Here is a 21054-nt window from a genome sequence, read left to right as displayed (position 1 = left end):
ACCCTGATTTTAGTCCACTGAGACCTGTGTTGGAATTTTGACATACAGAACAATAAATTTCTGTAGATTAAAACCACTAAGTTTATGATAATTTGATACAGCAGCAACAGAAAATTAATACAATATAATAGAACTATAGGATATACCTTCATAATAAAATCTAGTTAAGAGTTATAGTCTCTCTTTTAATCCATGATAGTAATTAGTCACCAACAAACTCTCAAACACTCAAGAGATAATTTTCCCCAATTGTGCACTGATGAACATGGTTATCCATTAGGGTGATGACTAGATAGAATTTGGAAAGGATGCCACTCTGAAAATATGCTCCCTGTGTATTTTGCTCTGACCATTTTCAGATTTGTGATTGCCAAGCAGGAAAAATCTCCTTTCTTTCCTCAAGTTCATCTTTCCAAGAATTTTAAAATATAAGAGGAAATATTAGCATTCCTTTATCTTTCTCTAAGTTAATATTCTTCATTGCTCTCAAATCTGTGACATAGGATTCTGCATTTCTCAGAAGCTGAAGGTAGAAATTCATAGCTTTGACCCAAGGTGTGATGTGTTGTTGTTGTTGTTGTTCTTCTTTTTCTTCTTCGTCCTCCTCCTCATCCTCCTCCTTCTCCTTCTTCTCCTCCTCCTTCTGTTTCCTCTTTGATCCAAACTTTAGTTTCTTATTGCTTCCTTATATCTTCAGAAATTTCATATAAATACCGTAACTTATGGTATAGCATCATGGAATGCCCCTAGTGACATCATATGATGTTGTTTGGAAAATTGTTTCTGCTCACCACAACCAACCCAGATTGAACCTGAGCTGCTTCCCTCTCTCCCATTTCAGGAGCACCCTCGAGTGGCTGGAGGTAAACTTTGTCCCTCCTTTTGGTTAGAGTCTCAGTCATGGGACAGATTAATAGTTCTGCGTCTAACTGTCATGTGAACAGGAGGTGTATCCTGCTTAGCACATTGTAGGGACATCTGTGTTGGTGGTGTACATAAGACTGGCTAGCATATCCTCTTTTACCAAGAACACCTTACATATTGTTTCCCACTAGTCATTTTGATGTTGACATAAGAAATGTGATGGACATATCTTTAAACAAAGGCATTGACACTGTGCTTTAGCCCAGTGGTTTTCAGGCTTCAGTGAGCCTCAGAGTCATTATAAGAAGGGCTTGTGAAAACACATTTCCTGTGTCTGAAATACCTGGGATAATGTTTTTCTCTCTCTATTTCCCCACTCCCACATCCCCTCTCCAGCTTACAGCCTGTAGCTGTTACTCTTTTGCTCCTGTTAAAAATTTACCTTTCTGTCCTTAATTTATAACACCTGAGGGATTTCCCTTACATTGATCTTCCTTTCCCCAGGCCTTCCTTTCTGACTCGTGTCCCCTTTATGTGCTCCACACATTCTGCTTCTTTGATCCTTGTCTTTAGCACATTTTCCTGGACTTATCAACACAGCACTTTAGAGCTAGAAGGAATATTGGTGACTGTCTGGTAAAGCAACTGCATTTTTACCTGAGACACAGGTGGAGAGGGACGTATTTATCCTCTGACTCCAGAGAAAGATACTGTAGTAAAAACCTTAAATAATTTTGAAGTGCTAAAAGTTATTAAGATGTTATTACAGAAATATAGCTTCCTTCCTCATGAAACTAAAGAGAGAAGCTAATAATAACTCCAGCAGTGAAAAAGTAAAAGTTAGCAATGCAATGCATTTGAAAATGTTGGCTTCAGGTCCAGGGGAAGCTGTTGATTGATCAACTGTCCTGAGTCATCCAGTGGTACCAGTAGTCACACCTTCTACAAGGCCACATGGGACTCTTCCATATACAGGCTAGAGCCCAAGAGCAAGTAGCTAATTAGTATTGAAATGTGTTGCAGGACAGGACAGATAGGGCAAGGGTTGAGAGGCCCTTCCTAGAAACTTCACATTTAAATAAAGCTACCTGGCTTCTTTGTACTCATCTTCATCCAAACACATGGCTGCAAAAAATATAAAAATAAATATAAGTAAATACAAAAAGAGAGTCATACAGTCTCCTCTATTGCCTCTTTCTATGCTCACCCCAGATTTCACCCTTGCATATCCTTAGAACCTTATTTCTGATATGAATTTTGTTAACAGGCTCCTATACTGAGACATAGGGCTCTTTTTAGAAGGTGAGCAGTGTCTGACTCATCAACTCAGGCATCAGACAACCTCACTTGATTTCTCCGTATTATTTCAAGTTCTTAAAATACATTAAACCAGTCTTAGGATGAGTTTCATTGTTAGTGGATAATGGCGTGATGGGGTGGAAACAGCACAGAAGATGGTATTAGACATCCAGGATTCAATTCCAGCCCAGATGCTTGACTTTTAAGAACATCAGGTGCCTCATTTGCAAAATGGAACAATAATGGAAGCCTCAAAATTTTACAAGAACAAAGTGAGACTCTGTTCATAGAGAGTCTGGGGCCATACATTTACTCCAGCAGGTGCTCAAGGGTAATAGTGCTTTTTATTTTTAAAGTTTCGTGGCATAGCCATCATCTAATGCCACCAACATCCCTGTGAGGGGCAGGACCAGGACTAGGGTGAGGAGGGTGAGCTGAGTGGTTCAGATGTAAGATTGTTTTCTGTTTTTAATTTTAAAATGTGACTTTTTTATCATGGATATTTTTGCATTGATTTTCATTAAAATAGCTCTTATGTTGGAATACTACCTTGGTGACTGATGTTTTGGCACCTCATTACATTTTTGCCCAAGGCTAGTGCCTCACTTGACTCAACTTCATTGCAGCTCTAGTCGGAGGATTAGATGGGAGGAAGATGTCTTTCTTATTTCCAGATAGAATGTTTAGATGGCAGCGACCGATGCTGCCACTGTCATCCTCTCTGTTGGCCTAAACAGCCAGTATCATGAAGAAGTCATCTATTTATACAAATCACTTGCTTGATAGCTATGCTTCTAACTCTTAAGAGCCTTCTCATTCATTGTTCTCTCCACAGAATGAGAAAACATTGTGACTCCATCAGGTGTTCCAGCTGACTTGTAATGTGATGACTTGTCGTGCTCCATTGAGTCAGCTCTCTCTCATTATGTTGTATCCCGGAGTCCTGGGCTTCTGGAGGGTACAGTCTCTAGGGAAATTGAGTTGCAGCCTCTATATTAACATTCTCTCCTTTTGTATTGCTGCCACATTATGCAGTCTTCTCCTTTCCTGCTGTTAGATAAAATAGTGCATTGATCCCAGAAAGAAGAGAGGCACAGCTGTTGAAATCATGGCAAACACAGAGCTTGCATTTTCCTCTGCTGTGCGGTCCTCACTTTTCTAGGCTCATTCTCCTGAGATGCAGCATTTTGTAATGAATGGCTTTTCAGGCAGACAGCGTTCTGACACCATGCAATATATGGGCCCCACCTCTCCACACTGTACGTCTCCATGCTGTGAGCTGAGCTGGTAGGGAGTCTTGGTTTCAAGTGCATTGAATTGCAATTGTGAAATTGTTTCAGAGTGTTTTGCTGAAACCAAACGATTCTTTGCAAATAATCTTTAAAATTGATATAAATGCTTTAGAGCCAGTGAGCTTTCTTGCTGAATAGACATTGCATCCTAATATAACTCGGTGCCAGGCTCTCCTCTCTTTTCTTAAGCTTATGTTTCAGCATGGGTAGCTCAGATCTTGTCCTGAGAACAGCTTTACAGATCAGGAGAAAGTAATGCTGAGGTGACAAGCCTAAGAGTATAAGCCTTTTAAGTCTCTGAAATTTATGGTGTCATTGAGTATGCGTGCATGAGTGTGTGTGTGTGTGTGTGCGTGCACACGCAAGCGTAGGCTGAAATATTGATTTGAATGGGTCTGTTAAGCTTGGTGTTCTTTTAAAATATAGAACGCTTCTTTTTCTCCCAGGAATTGATCTAAGCTAAGGCTTCCCTTGTCATGTGCCCCATTTTAACCACCACTTCTCATGATGATTCTATTGTAGAACTACTGTATTTTATTTGTTATTTTATTTTACTTTATTTGTATACTGGTATATGGCTTTGTTACTGTTTGTCACACCATGATTTTCCATGGTTAGTTACAGTAAGATGGGATTCAAAATGTTCTGGAAATCAGAATATGCTTGAGATGTACTGGAAAAGTAACTGATCATGAAGATACTATAAATACTGGCATATGGATTCATGGAAAGGGATTCCAACTTTTAAAGTTTATGGGTAGGGTATTCAAGGATTTTCTTATTTCAAGGCATTTTTCTTGTGTATGAGGCAATTCCAGAAAGTGAATACACAGCTGTGGTCAAGTGAAGTTTTGATTGTTGTCATGAAGTTTATCCTCTGAAGAGTCTTGGACCACAGTTGGCCCCTGTGAGCTCCTTGTCATTGTTCCTTCTCAGGTAGGCTTCATGAAGAAAGCTCTGGGAATAAAATCTTGGTTGCTTAGAGGTGAAGATCCAGAAGGGATGAATAGGACATAGCTGGGATTACTGCTGCCTTCCCCATGGTCTTTTCCTCATGGACGGCCTCCGTATGGTGCCATCCTAGTACAGCTTGACAGTGCATCTGCAAGGGTCAGTGTTGTTCCTGAAGAGGAGCAAAAAGCCAGTGATAGTGTATGTCCCCTGCCTGGCTCTCCCCCAAACTGTGTCACACTGATATGTGGGTGGCCCACATAGTGCAGCCCTACTGGGGTATAAGCATTAAAGGACACAAACCAAATACAACCATGCAACAAAATGTGCCTCAAAATAAGTCAAATTCTATACTGGAATTTCCAAATGCCATAGGAAGATAAAAACTATGTCATTACTCAAAATACCTTAAGACCCTATTAGTTTTCTCTCCCATCCAGTATGTTCAGCTACTATGGCTGTTCTCGCACCTTTTTTTCAAGGTGTTTTATTTTTTTGTGCAATTCCTCCAGCTCTCTTTGCCTCTCTTGTTGCCCACTTTGTCTATTTCTTTCTGATTCTGAACCACAGAGCACAAGAACTAGTCAGACAAATTAGGACCCTCCTTGCAGAGTGGGAGAAGGAAGAGGCTGAAAGCCAAATAGAAACCCTATTTAGTGGGTAGTGGAGAGAAAAGGCTGAAAGCAGTTGCATTTCAGTAATTTTGATTCCAATGTGGATATAAGCTCCCAGTGGGTAAGGTCCTGTGCTGCAGGCTGTTTGGTCTGAGGAGAATGTGGAGCTGTGGGCCAGCAGGAGTTTTGGAGTCAGTCATCAGTATCTTCATGTTGAATATCAAGAGCAGCATATTTCTCACCTTCCCTTGATGTTATAAATTCAACATCCCCTCATCATTTTTATGATTCCTGTGCCAGGAGGCTAATGAACAGATTTGTAATGTTAGAAAAGTACGGCAATGAATGTTAATTTTGTTGTTACTCTTAAAACCTGGATGAACAAATGAAAAGAAATCTCATCACCATTATTCCTTAATGTTTCATTTCTTTATAAATTGTTTGATTAAGAATTCATATGAAAAGGTTTGACTATAGATTCCTGTCATGGGTTATACATACCCTTTTGGCCTTAAGGAAATACATTTCTAAAGGTCTTAGGGGACCCATTTATGGACTCAGTGCTCTTCAAAGGTCCAAAATGAAGACTGCCAATATTGTTATGCTTTTTTTTTTTTGCTGTTTTATGTTTTCATTATATCTGTATTGGGAGTTTAACCATAATTCAATCAAATAAGAAAATATAGATTTTTGGTCTTTTAGTTCTGGAGGAATATTTACAATTCTAATATGATAATGAGAGTGGAATGTTTCAAATTTAACTAAACTGTTATTAAATTGAGCATAAGAGGAAGAACTTTTAGTGAAAAAAGCATGGCTTTATAGTAACTCAGATCTGAATTCTAATCCCCAGCACTAGCTGTACGAATGTGGGCAAATAATTTAGCATTTTTGAGCTTCAAATATCATAAGTGCATAAGGAAACCTAACGCGTTGTGAGGAATAAATGGTGTGTAATGTGTTGCTAAGTGCAAACTACATTCACCTCATTATAATAAAGAACAATTTTAATTTCATTTTTACAACAAAAATAGTCTGTGCTTGGATCTTTTTCATGATCAGGACTCTAATTTTAAAGGGTACAAAATAAGTATGCAGAAGTGGAGAAAAATTGACCGGTGCATATATTCTTTCTGGGTTGTTACATAATAGGACAAAGCACAAAATACTTCATAAAGCATAAATGTAAAACATGGACATTTCTGCCACTTATGATTTTTATGTAACTATATGGGAGGCATGGAAACCAATTTTATTTTGACTTATGTTATAAAGCTGTTGCCAAACATCCTGTGCTTAAGTCATGTTTCATGGGGAGACAGCAATGCCTAGTGCATTTCTATGTAACATGGATCTTAATATTTCCCTGTAAGATCAGAAGTACAACATGATTTCATTGAAATTCATACCGAGTATTCGCTTACACCATATTTTCCATTGAGAATAACCTCAGGAGCCTAGATTTTTATGGGAACAAAAGTAAGACAATTACTCTGAGGGAGAAAGCTGGAGGGAGGTTTGTAGCTCCTTCTCCCACAGCCACCTTTCCTCTAGGCTTCCCCGAAGTCCCTGTGCGGGACTCAGGCTGTCCCCTGACATTGATGAGATAGGGATCAACCCAAGACATCAGTGAAGCCGTACGCCTGGACTCTTCTTGAAATGGGCTCCTACTGTTCAAGATTTTGTAAAGAAGATCAGAAGTCATCTTAAGGCCCCTTTCTGTGCTGAAACCATGATGTTTATGCAAATCTTTCCCCCGAATGTATTTGTTTCAGTCTTCTTTCATTGCCTGGTGACTGTCTCAAGAACTTGACCTTTTCCTGTGCCTTGGTTGTCCTTTCTTTCTGCTGAAGGTTGGCTGGTTGGTTGCAGCTATTTCACAGCAATGATACTCAAAACCATATCTACACAAACTGACCCCGTGGGGTCCCTGCCTCATCTTTGAAGGCATGTGGGGGCATGTGCTCCCTGGGACACTCATCTCTGGAACCTGGGGCAGACTGATTAGAAAAGCATATTAACTTTTACCACCCAAGAAGACTTTACAAAGTACAGTTTTTCTTGGCTTTCAATAAGATTATCTAAAAACAAATTATCCATAGACAAATATGCTTCTTTTACTAAAGTATGTCATTGTTTGTAGGAATTTGGGGGTTCAATAAATAATGGTATTATAAATGAAAAATCTCTCATACAGTTACCTAGTGTAGCTAAAAATTATATTGTATACTTGACACATAATACTTTTCTCTCCTAAAAAGAGGAGTCCGTAGTTTATGTATTTGTTAACTTGTTTGTTGACTGTCCCCCATGCAAGATTATAAACTCTATGAAGACAAGAACAATCATTTCTCTATTGCTTCCTCCTATATTCTTAGCATCCTGCACTGAGCCTAATGCATAACAGGGGCACAAGACACAAGATGTGTTAAATAATGAACTGAATAATCCAGAGCCTTTTCCCACCATTCTTACTAAATGTTTATTCTGGTCTCCCAAAGAAAACATCAGTTCTGTTTCCATTTTGGACTGCATTCTGTATAGATAAGTGATGGGAGTGGAGGGTTAAAAAACAGTTTTGTTTCATAAATTATGTTATTCCAAAGATTTTCAATTTATTGTCTTATAAAATCTCAAAGTCAAATTTTTCTGTAGCTTCTGCTTTGGGCTAAGTTCTTCAAAATCATAGCCTGGAGGAGCTGTAATGGGCAGTAGAGATCTTATAGTTTAATGTAGCTTAAACTTTGAGTTGTTTGTAATGACACAATTCATGTTGATCTACACACATGATGCTATACTGGCTCAAGTTGTTTCATTTTTCAAATGCATTTATTTCAGAATATTTTGTTCATTGGGCTAGCTCTGCTGTAAGATAAAATATTTGTGATGTAACTGATCAGTAGATATAAGAGGGGCAGTTTATAAATATGGGGATCTAGTTAATGAGAATGAGATGGAAAAAATCTTGCATCCTAAGTTATATTATTATAAAAGGGAAAATATCTGATTCTACATTTAGCAGCAGTAAATTAACCAAATCAGCTTTTAAAACATAAGAACGTCTGCTCTAAGTAGATCTGGCACTTGACTTTGAAGAAAGACACACACACAAGCAACATGAGAGCCTCATTTTGCCCTCCTTTTTGAAGTGCTCGTTAGTTGATTTTGGGATGATTTCCAAGCCAGCGAAGTTACCATGTGTGCTGTGACAATCCTGTCACCATTGTTTGTATATAAATCAGCCATGTTTTATTTCTGTACCGATGAGCTGTGGATTCCTAGCATGCCCAGAGAATGTGTTCTGCTGAGCCTCATTTTTAGCTGAATGCTCCTTCCCCTGTGGAGAGAAAAGGCACATTCTAAGGATAGCAAGGCAGGTAGACTTGCAAAGCTCAGGAGAGACGTGAATGCCATACACAAGATTAACAGTCAGGGAAGATTTTAGGTAAAATGATTCACTAGGCAAAAAGTTAATTTGTTTATAGTTCCCAGTTTTTCCTTATTTGATCCTCAATTATTCTGAAAGAAGGGCATCTGTGATTTAAAGCTTTAAAGATGAAAAACAAAACAAAAAAAACCCCATATTCCCTGACATGAAAACTTGGGGTCAGTATAATACCTAATTTTCTCAGTGGCTTCCTCAATACATGGAGTATTTACTTAAGTGCCTAGAAGCACTTAATAAATGTCTATAGAAGTGTAAGCATCTGATAAATAGTAAGCATTTGATCAATGCTTTAGTCAACTTAGGCTGCTATAACAAAAATACCATTACCTGGGTACTTATACATGACAGAAACTTGCTTCTCATCATTCTGAAGGCTCAAAAATTCGATGTCAAGATGCCAGCATATTTGATGCCTGGCAAGGCCTGCTTTCTGGGTCACAGATGGTGCATTCTCACTTCCACTGGTGGAAGGAGGCAAATCAGCTCCCCTGGGTCTTTTTTGTAAAGGCCCAGTCCAGTGCGAATACTAATTCCATTCGTGACAGCTCTGCCCTCGTGACTTAATCACCTCCCAAAGGTACCATCTCTTCATACCAGCACATTAGTGACTAGGTTTCAATATAAATTTGGGGGAAGCACAAGCATGCAGACCATTCGGGAAGAAAGAAAGAAAAGGCATCAAAACTTCTGTCTTTTGAAAGACACGCTTTCCTTTCCTTCTTCCCTTCTTATGGGGTTTTCTAACAGTGACAGTTGGCAGAGTTGTGTTGTACCATCAAGAACAGACAGCAGAGAGATTTAGGTGTGAGTGGAGTGAAAGGACACCAAATCAAAACCCAGAGGTGGCCACACTCTGCCAATAAAGGGTGATGAATAATCAGAGAACATAAACTTCTATTGGTTTCTCTCTATATAATAAAAAGGCTCCCTAAGATTGTCACCTCCTTTGGTGTCACAACAATAATAGTCATCGAGAGACGTTGCTATGGAAACACCTGCAGGTTAGCCTAGAATAAATACAGGTAAATCGTGACAGGATAACCCATCAGCCCCAGTCAAGCATGAAGACACACACATGCACCCACGTCCAGATTCCAACAATGTCCTAAACTATTCTCTTCTCTAAAAGGCTATAGTTAGCAAACAAGATTATACCGAGTCAAGCAAAGGATGGATAGCTTAGTAAATAAGATAGCCATAAGCTAGAATTTTCTAAAAAGTTTTGACATTTCTCATAGATTTGAGAAAACTTACTAGCCATTTTTGACATTTCTTTTATGTGTGGAATAAGTAAATTGGGGGAATTCAAGATAATTTAAACCTTTGCAACATGGTGTGTAAAATATCGTTAGAATTATCTTTCCTGCTAGCCGTTTAGGATAGTAGAAAGAGTATATATTAGAAGAAATTTGCTTATGTATCCCCCTTTCTCATTTAATCTCCATTTATACTGAAAGAAGAACATTTGTGACTTAAAGCTTAAAAAAGAAAAAAATCCTCTGTGGAATTATAATAATTATAATATATAGTCATTATCTATATTATATGTAATATAGATAATGCATATTATACTATTTTATAAATATATGTGTGTGTGTATGTGTGTGTCTGTGTGTATGTGTGTGTGTGTTTCTTTTTATTTCTCAAGTTGATTAAACCCCTGCTAATTAGGGAGATGGTTTGCCAATTACTCTTACTAGAAAGTTTGATTTTAAATCCAACCTTGACTTGGGAATTGACTATGCCAAAGGAGGAAAGATAGCCTGGCCTGAACATTAAACATATTCATAATTTACTCTTCAAGTTCTAGTTATTCTCATTTCTTAGACAGCCCCTTTAGGTTTATGAGTTTACTACAATGGGTAGAAAGACAGCTCAAATTGTCAACCTATTAACAGAATCTAAGTCAAGCTATTAATAGAATTTGTTGTAAAAGTCTTTCACTGGGTTCAATTCTAAGTGAAATCTGGTTGTGTTATATAGTGAGGAGCTTTTTTCCTCACTTAAAAGTGACCTTTAAAACAATTTCTTATGTAAATAATGACTCAGAGTAAGAAAAAACATGCAAAATAAGGGAAAATTAAAGTCTGAACCTTTATATGTACTGCTCTACCCAGTGATATTAAAGTGAAAAGTAGTTTTATTTCTAGCCATTGAGTGCTCTCACTATTCTTGACTAATTTAACTGGATTAAATGTGTTAAGAACTATAAAACTTATGTACAGAATATAGACGACAAATAATACAGAACACTAAACTCAGTTCTGGGAAAAGTAAAATGACCAAAAGATAGCAAATTTTTTTAAAAGCTTATTATAAAAAAATTCTACTTAATGTGTTCAAGATCTTTGAAGAACTAGAATAGGAAGAAACACTTCCCAATTCTTTCAATGAAGTTAATATTCTAATATCAAAAAAAGTATATTACAAGGAAATAAGTATATTGATCAATATCCTTTATGAATATAAATGAAAAAAATTTTAATGAAATATAAAAATCTTAATCTAGCAACATATAAAAAGAATATATACCATAACCAAATGGAAATATCTATCCCAGAATGCACTGTTGTTGTTACGTACATACATTCTTCAATTTAATATACCATATTAATAGAATAAAGAACAAAATATAGCATGCTCATCTCAATCAATGAAGAAAAAGCATTTGATAAAATTCAACACCTTTTCACAATGAAATCTCAGCAGACTAGGAACAGAAGAGAACTTCAATAAAGACATCTACCAAAAAAAAGCACATCAACATCAGACTAAATTAGGAAAGACTGAATGATTTCCCCCTAGAACAAGGAATAAGACAAAAATGTCTGCTCTTGCCACTTCTGTTTAACATTGTATTTGAAGAAGTAAAATTAACTCTATTTACAAATGACACAACCCCCTATATAGATAATGCAAAAGAATTCACACACACACACAAACACAACTATTAGAACTAATAAATGAATTTGACAATATTACAGGCTACAAGCTCAATATAGAACAATCAATTGTATTTCTATATACTAACAATGAAAAATCTGAAAGTGAAGTTAAGAAAATGGCACTTAGAATATCATCAAAAGAATAACACTTAAAAATAAATTGAACAAAAGAAGTACAATACTGTCTGGGTGCAGTGGCTCACTCCTGTAATCGCAGCACTTTGGGAGTCTGAGACAGGCAGATGACTTGAGGTCAGAAGTTCAAGACCAGCCTGGCCAACATGAGGAAATCCTGACTCTACTGAAAATACAAAAATTACTCAGGCATGGTGGCACACACCTGTAGTCCCAGCTACTCAGAAGGCTGAAGCATGAGAATCACTTGAACCCTGGAGGTAGAAGTTGCAGTGAACCAAGATCATGCCACTGCACTCCAGCCTGGGTGATGGATCTGTCTCCAAAAAAGAAAAAAAGTACAATACTTGTTCACTGAGAGCTACAGAACATCATCAAAATAAATTATATAATGCCTATATAAATAGAAAGACATCCCATGTTTACAGACTAGAAGACTTAATATTCTTAACATGTCAATATGTCAGTACTCGCCAAACTTAACTACAGTTTCAATTCAATTCATAATTCGTATCAAAATCCCAGCTGGCATTTTATTTTTAGAGTTTGACAACCTGATCCTAAAGTTTATATGGACATTGAAGGGACTTATAGCCGAAACAGTCTTGAAAAAGAATGAAGTTAGAGGATTCACATTCCCAGATCTCAAAAATTACTACAAACCAAATCAAGAAGTATGCCAGTATACATGGCATAAGAGTAGACATATATATAATATAATTATATGAATATATATATATGCATGTCTGTGTGTGTTTATATATGTGTGTGTGTATATATATAAATTCCATTTTACATATGTATATATATATATACACCAGTAAAACTGAATTGAGATTCTGGAAGTACATCCTAACATTGATGGTCAATTGATTTTTGACAAGGGTACCAAGACTATTCAGTGGGGGAAATGGTAGTATTTTAACAAATGGTGCTGGAATAACTGAACAGCCACATGAAAAAGATTGAAGTTACACCTTTACCTCACACCATATACAAAAATTGAATCATCGACCTAAACTATAAAACTCTTAGAAGAAAAATTGGTGTACATATTCATGATAGTAAATTAGGCAAAGTTTTCTTAGAAAAGACACAAAAATCACAAGTCACAAAAGATAAAATAGATACATTTAACTTCATTAAAATTAAAAATACTTATGTTCCAAAGGAGACCATCAAAAAGTGAAAAACGCTTCATATTATGGAAGGAAATATTTACAAGTCATGTATCTTATGAGAGATTTGTTTTCAGAATGTAAAAACACAGACCACATTAAAAAGAAAAATAACCCAATTAAAATGGGAAAAGCATTTGAATAGACAGTTCTCCAGAAAAGTTGTATAATTACCAATAAACACAAGAAAACTGCTCAACATCATTAGTCATTATGGAAATGCAAATACGAACTACAATGAGATACCTCTTCCCACTCCTAGGATAACCAAAATTAAAAGTCAGACAGAAATAAGTGTTGGCAAGAATGTGGAGGAATTAGAATCCTCATGCGTTGCTGGCAGAATTGTAAAATGGTACAGACACTTTGGAAAACACATACAGTTCTTTAAAATGTGAAACAGAGTAACTCAGGAATTTTATTTCTAGGAAAATTTTTATATACCTAAGAAAATTTTTTAAAAACACATGTTCATGTAAAACTTGTACATAAATTTTACAGCTGCATTATTTATAATAGTGTAAAAGTGGAGACAACTGAAATGTTCATTAACTGATAAATGGAGAAATAAAATGTGGTAGATCGACACAATGGAATATTACTTGTCAATAAAAAGACATTAAAATATCTTGGTGTGGGACCACAACTATTCTCCCTTCAACATTCTTGTTTATCTTCTCCCACTGGGACCTCATTTAGATTCCCATGTTTATTGACACCTTGTTATTTTATTCTCCTCTTGTGCATTATTTCAATGATCCTTATGCCAATGCCCTAAACTTTCCAAGTGAGGCCTTACTGTACCTGTCAGTGCACCCTGTTATGACATAAACGAACCTTAAAAATTTTTTCTAAGTGAAAGAAGACAGACAAAAGGCTGCATCTTGTATGATTCCATTGATATGAATTGCCCAGTATTGGCAAATTCATAGAGAAAGAACATAGATTAGTTGTTGTCAGGGGCTGGGGAAAGGGAAGATTAAGAAATGATTGATAATGAGTGTGTAGTTTCTTTTTGTGATGATAAAATTTTGAAAATTAGAGAGTGGTGATGTTGTACAACCACAAGAATATACTAAAGAACACTAAATTGTACACCATAAAAGGTGAATTTTACGGTACATGAATTGTATGTCAATAAAACTGTTATAAAAATAATTTATTAAGAGCTCTATTAAGAGCTCTATACCATGAGATGTCTAATCTCTATTTTTAATCAAGCGTGTTCTTCCCTTTATTAAAAATCTGTAGCACTTTAGTTGGTAGCACAGTGGAGTAAATGGAGGATAAAATTTGACTTTAAGTTCATATATTGGTTTGCTTCTTTCTAGGTATATAACCTTGAATAAGTGCTCTAAATTCATTTACTTACCTATCAAATGAGTTTTGAACAGCTGATATTAGGGTTAAACTGTAACATTCTTTAGTAGACATCTGGCAATCAGTTAGACACTACCTAGCAATGGTGATATGTTACGTATTTTGTGTGTGGCTGTTGGCTGTGTGTGTGTGTGTGTGTGTGTGTGTGTGTGTGTCCGAAAATATTTTACTACTTTTGTACAGTTTTCCTAATTGACTGTAAATTCTTTAGAGTAGAGGCCCTTCCTTGAACTTTGCCTTTGTCCTAGGGAGCCCAGCACAAGGCTTCACACAAGGTGCTTCCTCTCATTTGTTAATAGATTGAGAAATTTTCTTAAGATATCATAATGGGAAGTTACATTTAAAGTTTAATGTACATGCTGAAATCTAACACATTAAGCACTTACACGGAATACAATGTTTATTAATACAGAGGCTTTATACAAAGATATTCTCTTTTTTATAGTTTAAAATGGAACTGGCATATATTTCATTTGAGTATTATTTTACTATGATACAATCCTTAACATTTTGTGCAATTTTAAACATCTTAAATGAGTGGCTTTCTTTGCCTTTCATTGGCTATTAAACTGAATAAATGTATTGGCCATGTGAGACGGTGTCATCTATTTATGTTCTCTGGCATCCCTCCCATTAATTTATAATTCTCCAGCCATCTTCATACCAATTCAGCAAGATTGGGTTCCTCTGAGCAGATGGAGTGAGGAAAAAATAAAACAGCAACAAAAAAGGGAGGTTGATAATGCCATCTCTTTGAGCGAGTTTAGCTTGTCATCTCAATGATTCCTTGCTCTTATGACTCCAAGAGACTGAACAGCTTTGTGGACTTTCTTTTTCAAGGCCTGTGATTAGGAAATCTTCCAATTGCCCCTAATTTGTTCCCTCTCCTCTCATTTTCATTTAAAGAGATGAGTTCTGGCAATACAAAGGTATGATACCTGCTTGTCATTTTTTTGGAGTTCCAGTAGAGGCAACTGGCTATGTCCTTTAAAGAATAGAGGGCTATTTCTTGCCCAGATTAAAAAGGAAGCTCTTTTTGACTGTTTAGTAAGGCCATTGAGTAAGGGGGGTGGGGGTGCTGCTTAACAGCATTCTGGAAGTTTGTGGGAGGGAATCCATGAAGTAAGGTAGAATTAGGCAGGAAGTCTGCCCAAGTGGACGCAGAGTAGATATGGCAGTTCTATCTGGGGAGTCCCCGTGAATCATGACATCACTGATCTTGAGAACTGGAATGGTAATTAGTGATCATCTAGTTAATCATCACTCATGTTCTAGGTGAGGAGACTGGGGTTTGGGGTTGTAGGTAGTTGCTTATGATCTATTAGTAGAAGAACTAAGAATAGAAGTCATGGCTCCTGCTTCCTTCTTTTATATGATCTAAAAAGAATAGGCTGCCTCCTGTATCAGATACACACATTAGGTCCCAAGGATGATGGGCTATGGAAACAGTTTGGTATTTCTGGCAGTGAGTATAAATTATCTCATCTGTGGACTCTTAGCCAAAGTAATTTCTCACCAAATATATGTTGAATTTAATTGATGAACAATTTTCTCTGCTTGGTCCAGAGCAAACCAGTTTTCCATATCTTTTGCTGATTGTCCTTCCCTTAGCTTCAATTATGCCAGATACCTGGCATCTCTGTCTTGTGGCTCAGGGTTGTTGCTGAGTGACAGGCAACGCACAGCTACTCATAAAGGGCACCACCAAGAAAGAGTAAGAGTTAAGAAATCTGAGTTCCTCTACAGTTCTCCCAAAGGGCTCTTTCTCCTCTTATCACATTTCCCCAGGATTAGGGAGTGAGGAGTTCACGATATCCACCTTGAACTTCACTCCCACCAGAGCACAACGCACTTACTCTCTTTTACGAAGCCTCTACTTAGCTCAAAATGAGCTAAGTAGAATGTTTCAAGAATGTTGTCATAGAAATATATCATTGTTTCATCCTCCTATTCACTATCCATCTTATGCTCTTCCTTTATCCAAGACTTTGGCACCAGACTTGCTGTCTTCTTAACTCTAAATCTCCTTCCTCTGTAATGATGCATAATCTCCTTTACTCTCGGCCTTCTGTTCTTTGGCGCCCTTATCTCCAGTGTTTTTCTTCCCTCCACTTAAGGCACATACACCCAGTAGTCATACCCCTAGCTTGTCATCAAAACTATGCACTTCCAAAACCACTAATCAAATACCTTGTACTCTGACCACAACCTACTCTCCCTCCAACCTTCTTGTTTATCTTTTCCCTGCGAGGCCATTCTTCAGCCTTTTTTTTTTTATCTCTGTGTTCATCGACATCTTATTTCCTCATTCCCTTCTTATGTGCCATTTCAATTTGGTCATCATGCTGCTGCCCTAAACTAGCTTAACTCTGAGTACACATTGTATTTGTCAGGTAACATCCCATCTGTGTAGTGACCTAGTTGTTCACATTCAGAGTTCCTGCACTCTAGTTGCTAAATGCTGCTAGAGAAAGTCACAAACACTGGGAAAATGTTAATTTGTTATGACCAACCTCAATTGTACTCTTAGCACTACCCAAAATCCTGTTCCATTCTTCTAATCATCTTACTTTTCCACTCTTTGTCTGACATTTCTGCTCTTCTCTCTCTCTCTTTTGTTTCCTTCCTTCTCTCTCTCTCTTTCTTTGTTTCTCACAGAGTTTCACTCTGATTGCCCAGACTGGAGTGCAATGCGTGATCTCGGCTCACTGAAACTTCTGCCTCCCAGATTTAAGCGATTCTCCTGCCTCAGGCTCCCAAGTAGCTGGGATTACAGGCATGCACCACCACGCCTGGCTAATTTTGTATTTTTAGTAGAGACAGGGTTTCACCATGTTGGTCAGGCTGGTCTCAAACTCCTGACCTTAGGTGATCTGCCCGCCTCAGCCTCCCAAAGTGCTGGGATTACAGGCATGAGCCACCATACCCGCCTATTCTCTCACTCTCTTACCTCCTAGGTCTCCTCTTTTCACTACTGAACCTATAAACTTAGACATTTCTGCAACCACTCTCATGTCCCTCCCTCAAATAAGCCCATTTCCTCCACACTCCCTCCAAATCCCATCCCTTTCTCAGAAATTCACTCTAGTATGCCTACACTATTCATTATCATCAACATCATGATTATCAAATGACTGCTTTATATAAATTAATGAGTGTATTGTGTATGTTTTTCCTAAATATGTTACACAATGCAGTCTTTCATGCTTTTGTTTTATTTTTGCTGTAGGCAAGCACCTGACAAAAATAAAATTACTTTTTCGTTTTGAGCTAAATATTATCTCCTATGAAAGGCATCCATAATGTTCACACCTGCGTTGAATAGAATAACCCTCTTTCTTGGCAACAATACGAGTCCAATTCTCATCCTTTTAACAGAAGGACAATTCTGCCTCTCCCAGCTCTGTATTTAAAGTGTGCAGTTCTTGCATAAACAAGCAATGGAACATATCTTCAGTACAAGTACAACATGAAGAGAATTTAATTACAGATGTCTCAGGATTCAGCACTTGCCAAAGGCTTGCTTAGAACATCTCATTTTGGGGAGAAACATTTAATCAGTATGCTTTAAAAGTAGAAAAAGTGTGACCTTTGGAAACAGAGACCTGTTTGAATACCTGCTCCATTACTTACTGCTTATGGGAATTTAAGCAAGTTATTACTTCTCCAAGGGAGAGGTGGGAACATCAGCCTCAGGGGTATCCAGGGACAGATGGGATGTTTATCTGTCATAGAAATCAGGGAAGTCAGGCACAAGGCTAGCACTGGAGATGCTCTCGAGCGGGGCACTCAGGACCCTGAAAGTCTTCACTAGTAGAGGGAGGCAGGTGGGTAGACACAGAGGGTGTCCTGATTCTGCCTGGAAACAGGTCAGCAGAACCCTCGTGAATCATGACATAGAGCAGAAGAAAGTGATTCTTAAAACCCTACTGGCTGATAGGGCAAGAGTTACTGATACTCTCTTCTGAGGAAAGTTAGGTGGACTCCAATTCACTTGGACCTCAAGATGAAGATCTGGGATGGTTAGGATGTGAGGATAGGGTTTGACCAACTGACTATATTCTCAAAATTGTCATGACTGTTAGGTTGGCTCATCACAAAGCTGAGCATATTGTCATGATGCCTTGCAAAATGTCTACAATGAGTTGAAACTTGGTGATTGGTATTTATAGAGGACTGATAGATAAGGAAGTGCTTTGAATGTGGTAGATTATAATGACACATATTCTCAGCCTTGATTGAGCATGCAACTCATTGTGGGTATTTGTAAAATGTACATGTGCAAGCCCCATACTTGAAAGTTCTGATTCAGCAGGTCTGGAATGTTATCTGGTAATCTGTAAGTTCCACATTGATTCAGATGTAGCTCATTTTAAAAAAGCTGCCATATTTGAAAAATATTACTATGTAAAAAGTTGCTAAGCCAGAGTAGATGAACAACTTAGAGACTTAAGAGGAAGAGTTTTCTGAGCTAGAGGAGCTGGATGAAGAGGCCTCAGGGATGGAGGGCGATGGATAAGTGACCTCAGGGCTGGAAGAGGAGGCCTCAGGGCTGGAGGAGGAAGAAGAAGAAGAGACCTCAGGGCCAGAGAAGGAAGAGGAAGAAGAGGCCTCAGGGCTAGAGAAGGAGGAGGAACAGACTTCAGTGTTCTGTAAGGAATAAGACTCAACCTTTCAGGGTCATACTTTGGTAGATGCAAAGCATGGAGTTGAGATAACCAGTGATGGCATGGAAACTATTTTCATTGACTCAGTAGAGGATTCTGAGCCAGAGGAGGAAGAGGAAGGAAAGGGCTCTGAAATAGGAAAGGTAAAGCTACCTCCCTGACTGAGAAAAAAGAAAACTCACATAGACAAAAAGAAATTCCCTTTAGTTATTTGGTTGCGGACTCTGGGAAGAAAATGTTGGTGAAACACCAGGTGGTGTACAAAACCCAGGAGGAAGAGGAAACAGTTGTGCCCACAAGTCAAGGAACTGGCACACCCTGTCTAACTTTATGTTTGGCCTCTCCCTCAAAGTCACTAGAGATAGGTTATGATAAGCATAAAAAACATTCACATACAAATTTGAGTATTTCAACAGGAGTCACCAAACTTTTTAAGAAAACAGAAGAAGAGAGACACAGAACTCTAGAAACAGAAGAACTGACATCCAAAGAAGCAGACTTAACATAGGAAATAGAGGAAAACTTGAGAGGTAGTGTGATTAATAGCATCAGAGAGATAAAAAAGGAGATTGGAAATTTGAAAAGTTCCCATCCAGGAGTGTTGGAAATTAAAAATTCAGTAGATGATCTGAGTAGCGGAATGGACATACTTGAAGAAAGAATGAACAGTCTAGAAGATCAAATTGAAGAATTCTCTAAGAATACAGTCCAAACGACCAAAAAGATAATTAATAAAGAAAGGCAAAGAGATAGAGAGGATAGATCCAGAAGCTCCAACATTCATTTGATAGGAATTCCAGGAAAACGGAATAATGAGAATGGAGCAGAGGACATAATTAAGGAAATAATTGATGAAAACTTTGCAGAACTAAAGAAAGTTTCAAGTCTTGAGATTGTCAGTGCTTGCTGAGTACCTAGTAAGATTGATGAAAAGAGACTGACCCTAGACACATCTTGGTGAAATTTTGGAATTCTAATGATAAAGAGAAAATAATAAGGACTTCTATAGAGAGAAGAGAAATAATCTACCAAGGAACAAGAATCAGATTGACAGCAGACTTATCACTGGACACACTGGATGCTAGCAGTAAATGGAGCAATATCTTTAAAGTTCTGCAGGAAAAAGGCTTTAATCCTAGATTCCTATATCCAGCCAAACTAGCATTTGATTTTAGGGATAAAACAAAGGTATTTTTTGATATTGAAGAATTTAGAGATTATGTTTCACATATGGCCACTTTGAGTTAATTACTGGAGAATATACTTTAGCAGTCTAGGGTGACTATAAACACAATATGCTTTTCTCCCCCAGCACACATCCAAAAATCAACAAGTAAAACTGGAGAATACACTTCTACCCAGAAGGATGGACAGCTAGCAGCATACTTGGGGATGAGGAGCAAGGAATATTACAGATGTTACCTAGATGTTAATAAAGTTAAAGTGTATGTTAAAAAAAACAGGCTGGTCTGAAGGTAGTTAGTTATTTCAGTTGATTGTTCACAGTCAGTTACAGATAGAATTCCTTGTTCTACTTGCCTCTTGCCCCCATCTCACTACTGCAGTTGACTAGTCCTTTTAGAATTTATACTGTCCTAGCTTGTCTAAGAGTAAACATCCTATGCTACTGGGGGAGGGGCACACCTGTCAATATAACCAGTCAATGTAGCAGGAAAACAGGAGGGGGCAGTAACAGAGAAGCACAGGGGGAAAGATGGCAAGGTTAGTTAAAATAGAAAAAGCCACTGCTGTGCTTGGTGGCTCATACCTGTAATCCCAGCAATTTGGGAGGCCAAGGCAGATGGATCACTTGAGCCCAGGAGTTCAAGGCCATCCTGGGCAGTGTGGTGAAACCATCTACAAAAAATACAAAAAGAGGAAGAAGAAAGGATATTTCATAAATTTGTATCATTTGTCATGATGTGAATCTTGAATCTTTATATTAAATCTTTTGCCTTTGGAAAATAAAAGAAAAATATTACTATGTAATCTGGTTCTAAGACCTGTACAATACAGCTCACATTATGTTTAGGTCTAGGTATTTGTATTAATTCTGGTTCAACAATAAAAATTTTTAGAAAAATCAGCTATAGCAATTAACTAATCTCAGTTGTCTCACATTATTCCTTGTTTGTTCTAAGTGGCCTTGTTTAATTTTTAAAATTTAAAATATTTATTTTGCATTATATTTAAAATTTTAAAAATCTTTTCAAATTATCCTGATAGCAGGTTAGTTAAAATTTATAATACATATAGTCATATATATTGTGGTGCAGGAAGA

General features: G+C 37.5%; 1 protein-coding gene and 2 pseudogenes across 21 annotated transcripts in view; all 3 read left to right on the top strand.

The window, feature by feature from the left end:
* Positions 1–21054, top strand: part of FGF14 (fibroblast growth factor 14) — a 691640-nt gene that overhangs the window by 365139 nt on the left and 305447 nt on the right. The gene's annotated exons all lie outside the window — the stretch shown is intronic.
* L1TD1P1 (LINE-1 type transposase domain containing 1 pseudogene 1) lies at positions 18517–20733 on the top strand (annotated as a pseudogene).
* On the top strand, positions 20236–20352 carry RNY1P2 (RNY1 pseudogene 2; annotated as a pseudogene).

Source organism: Homo sapiens, chromosome 13 (genome assembly GCF_000001405.40).
Source record: "Homo sapiens chromosome 13, GRCh38.p14 Primary Assembly".
NCBI classification, from domain to species: domain Eukaryota; kingdom Metazoa; phylum Chordata; class Mammalia; order Primates; family Hominidae; genus Homo; species Homo sapiens.
Note: the sequence above shows the minus strand (reverse complement) of the source record. Positions and strands in the feature narration are given on the sequence as shown.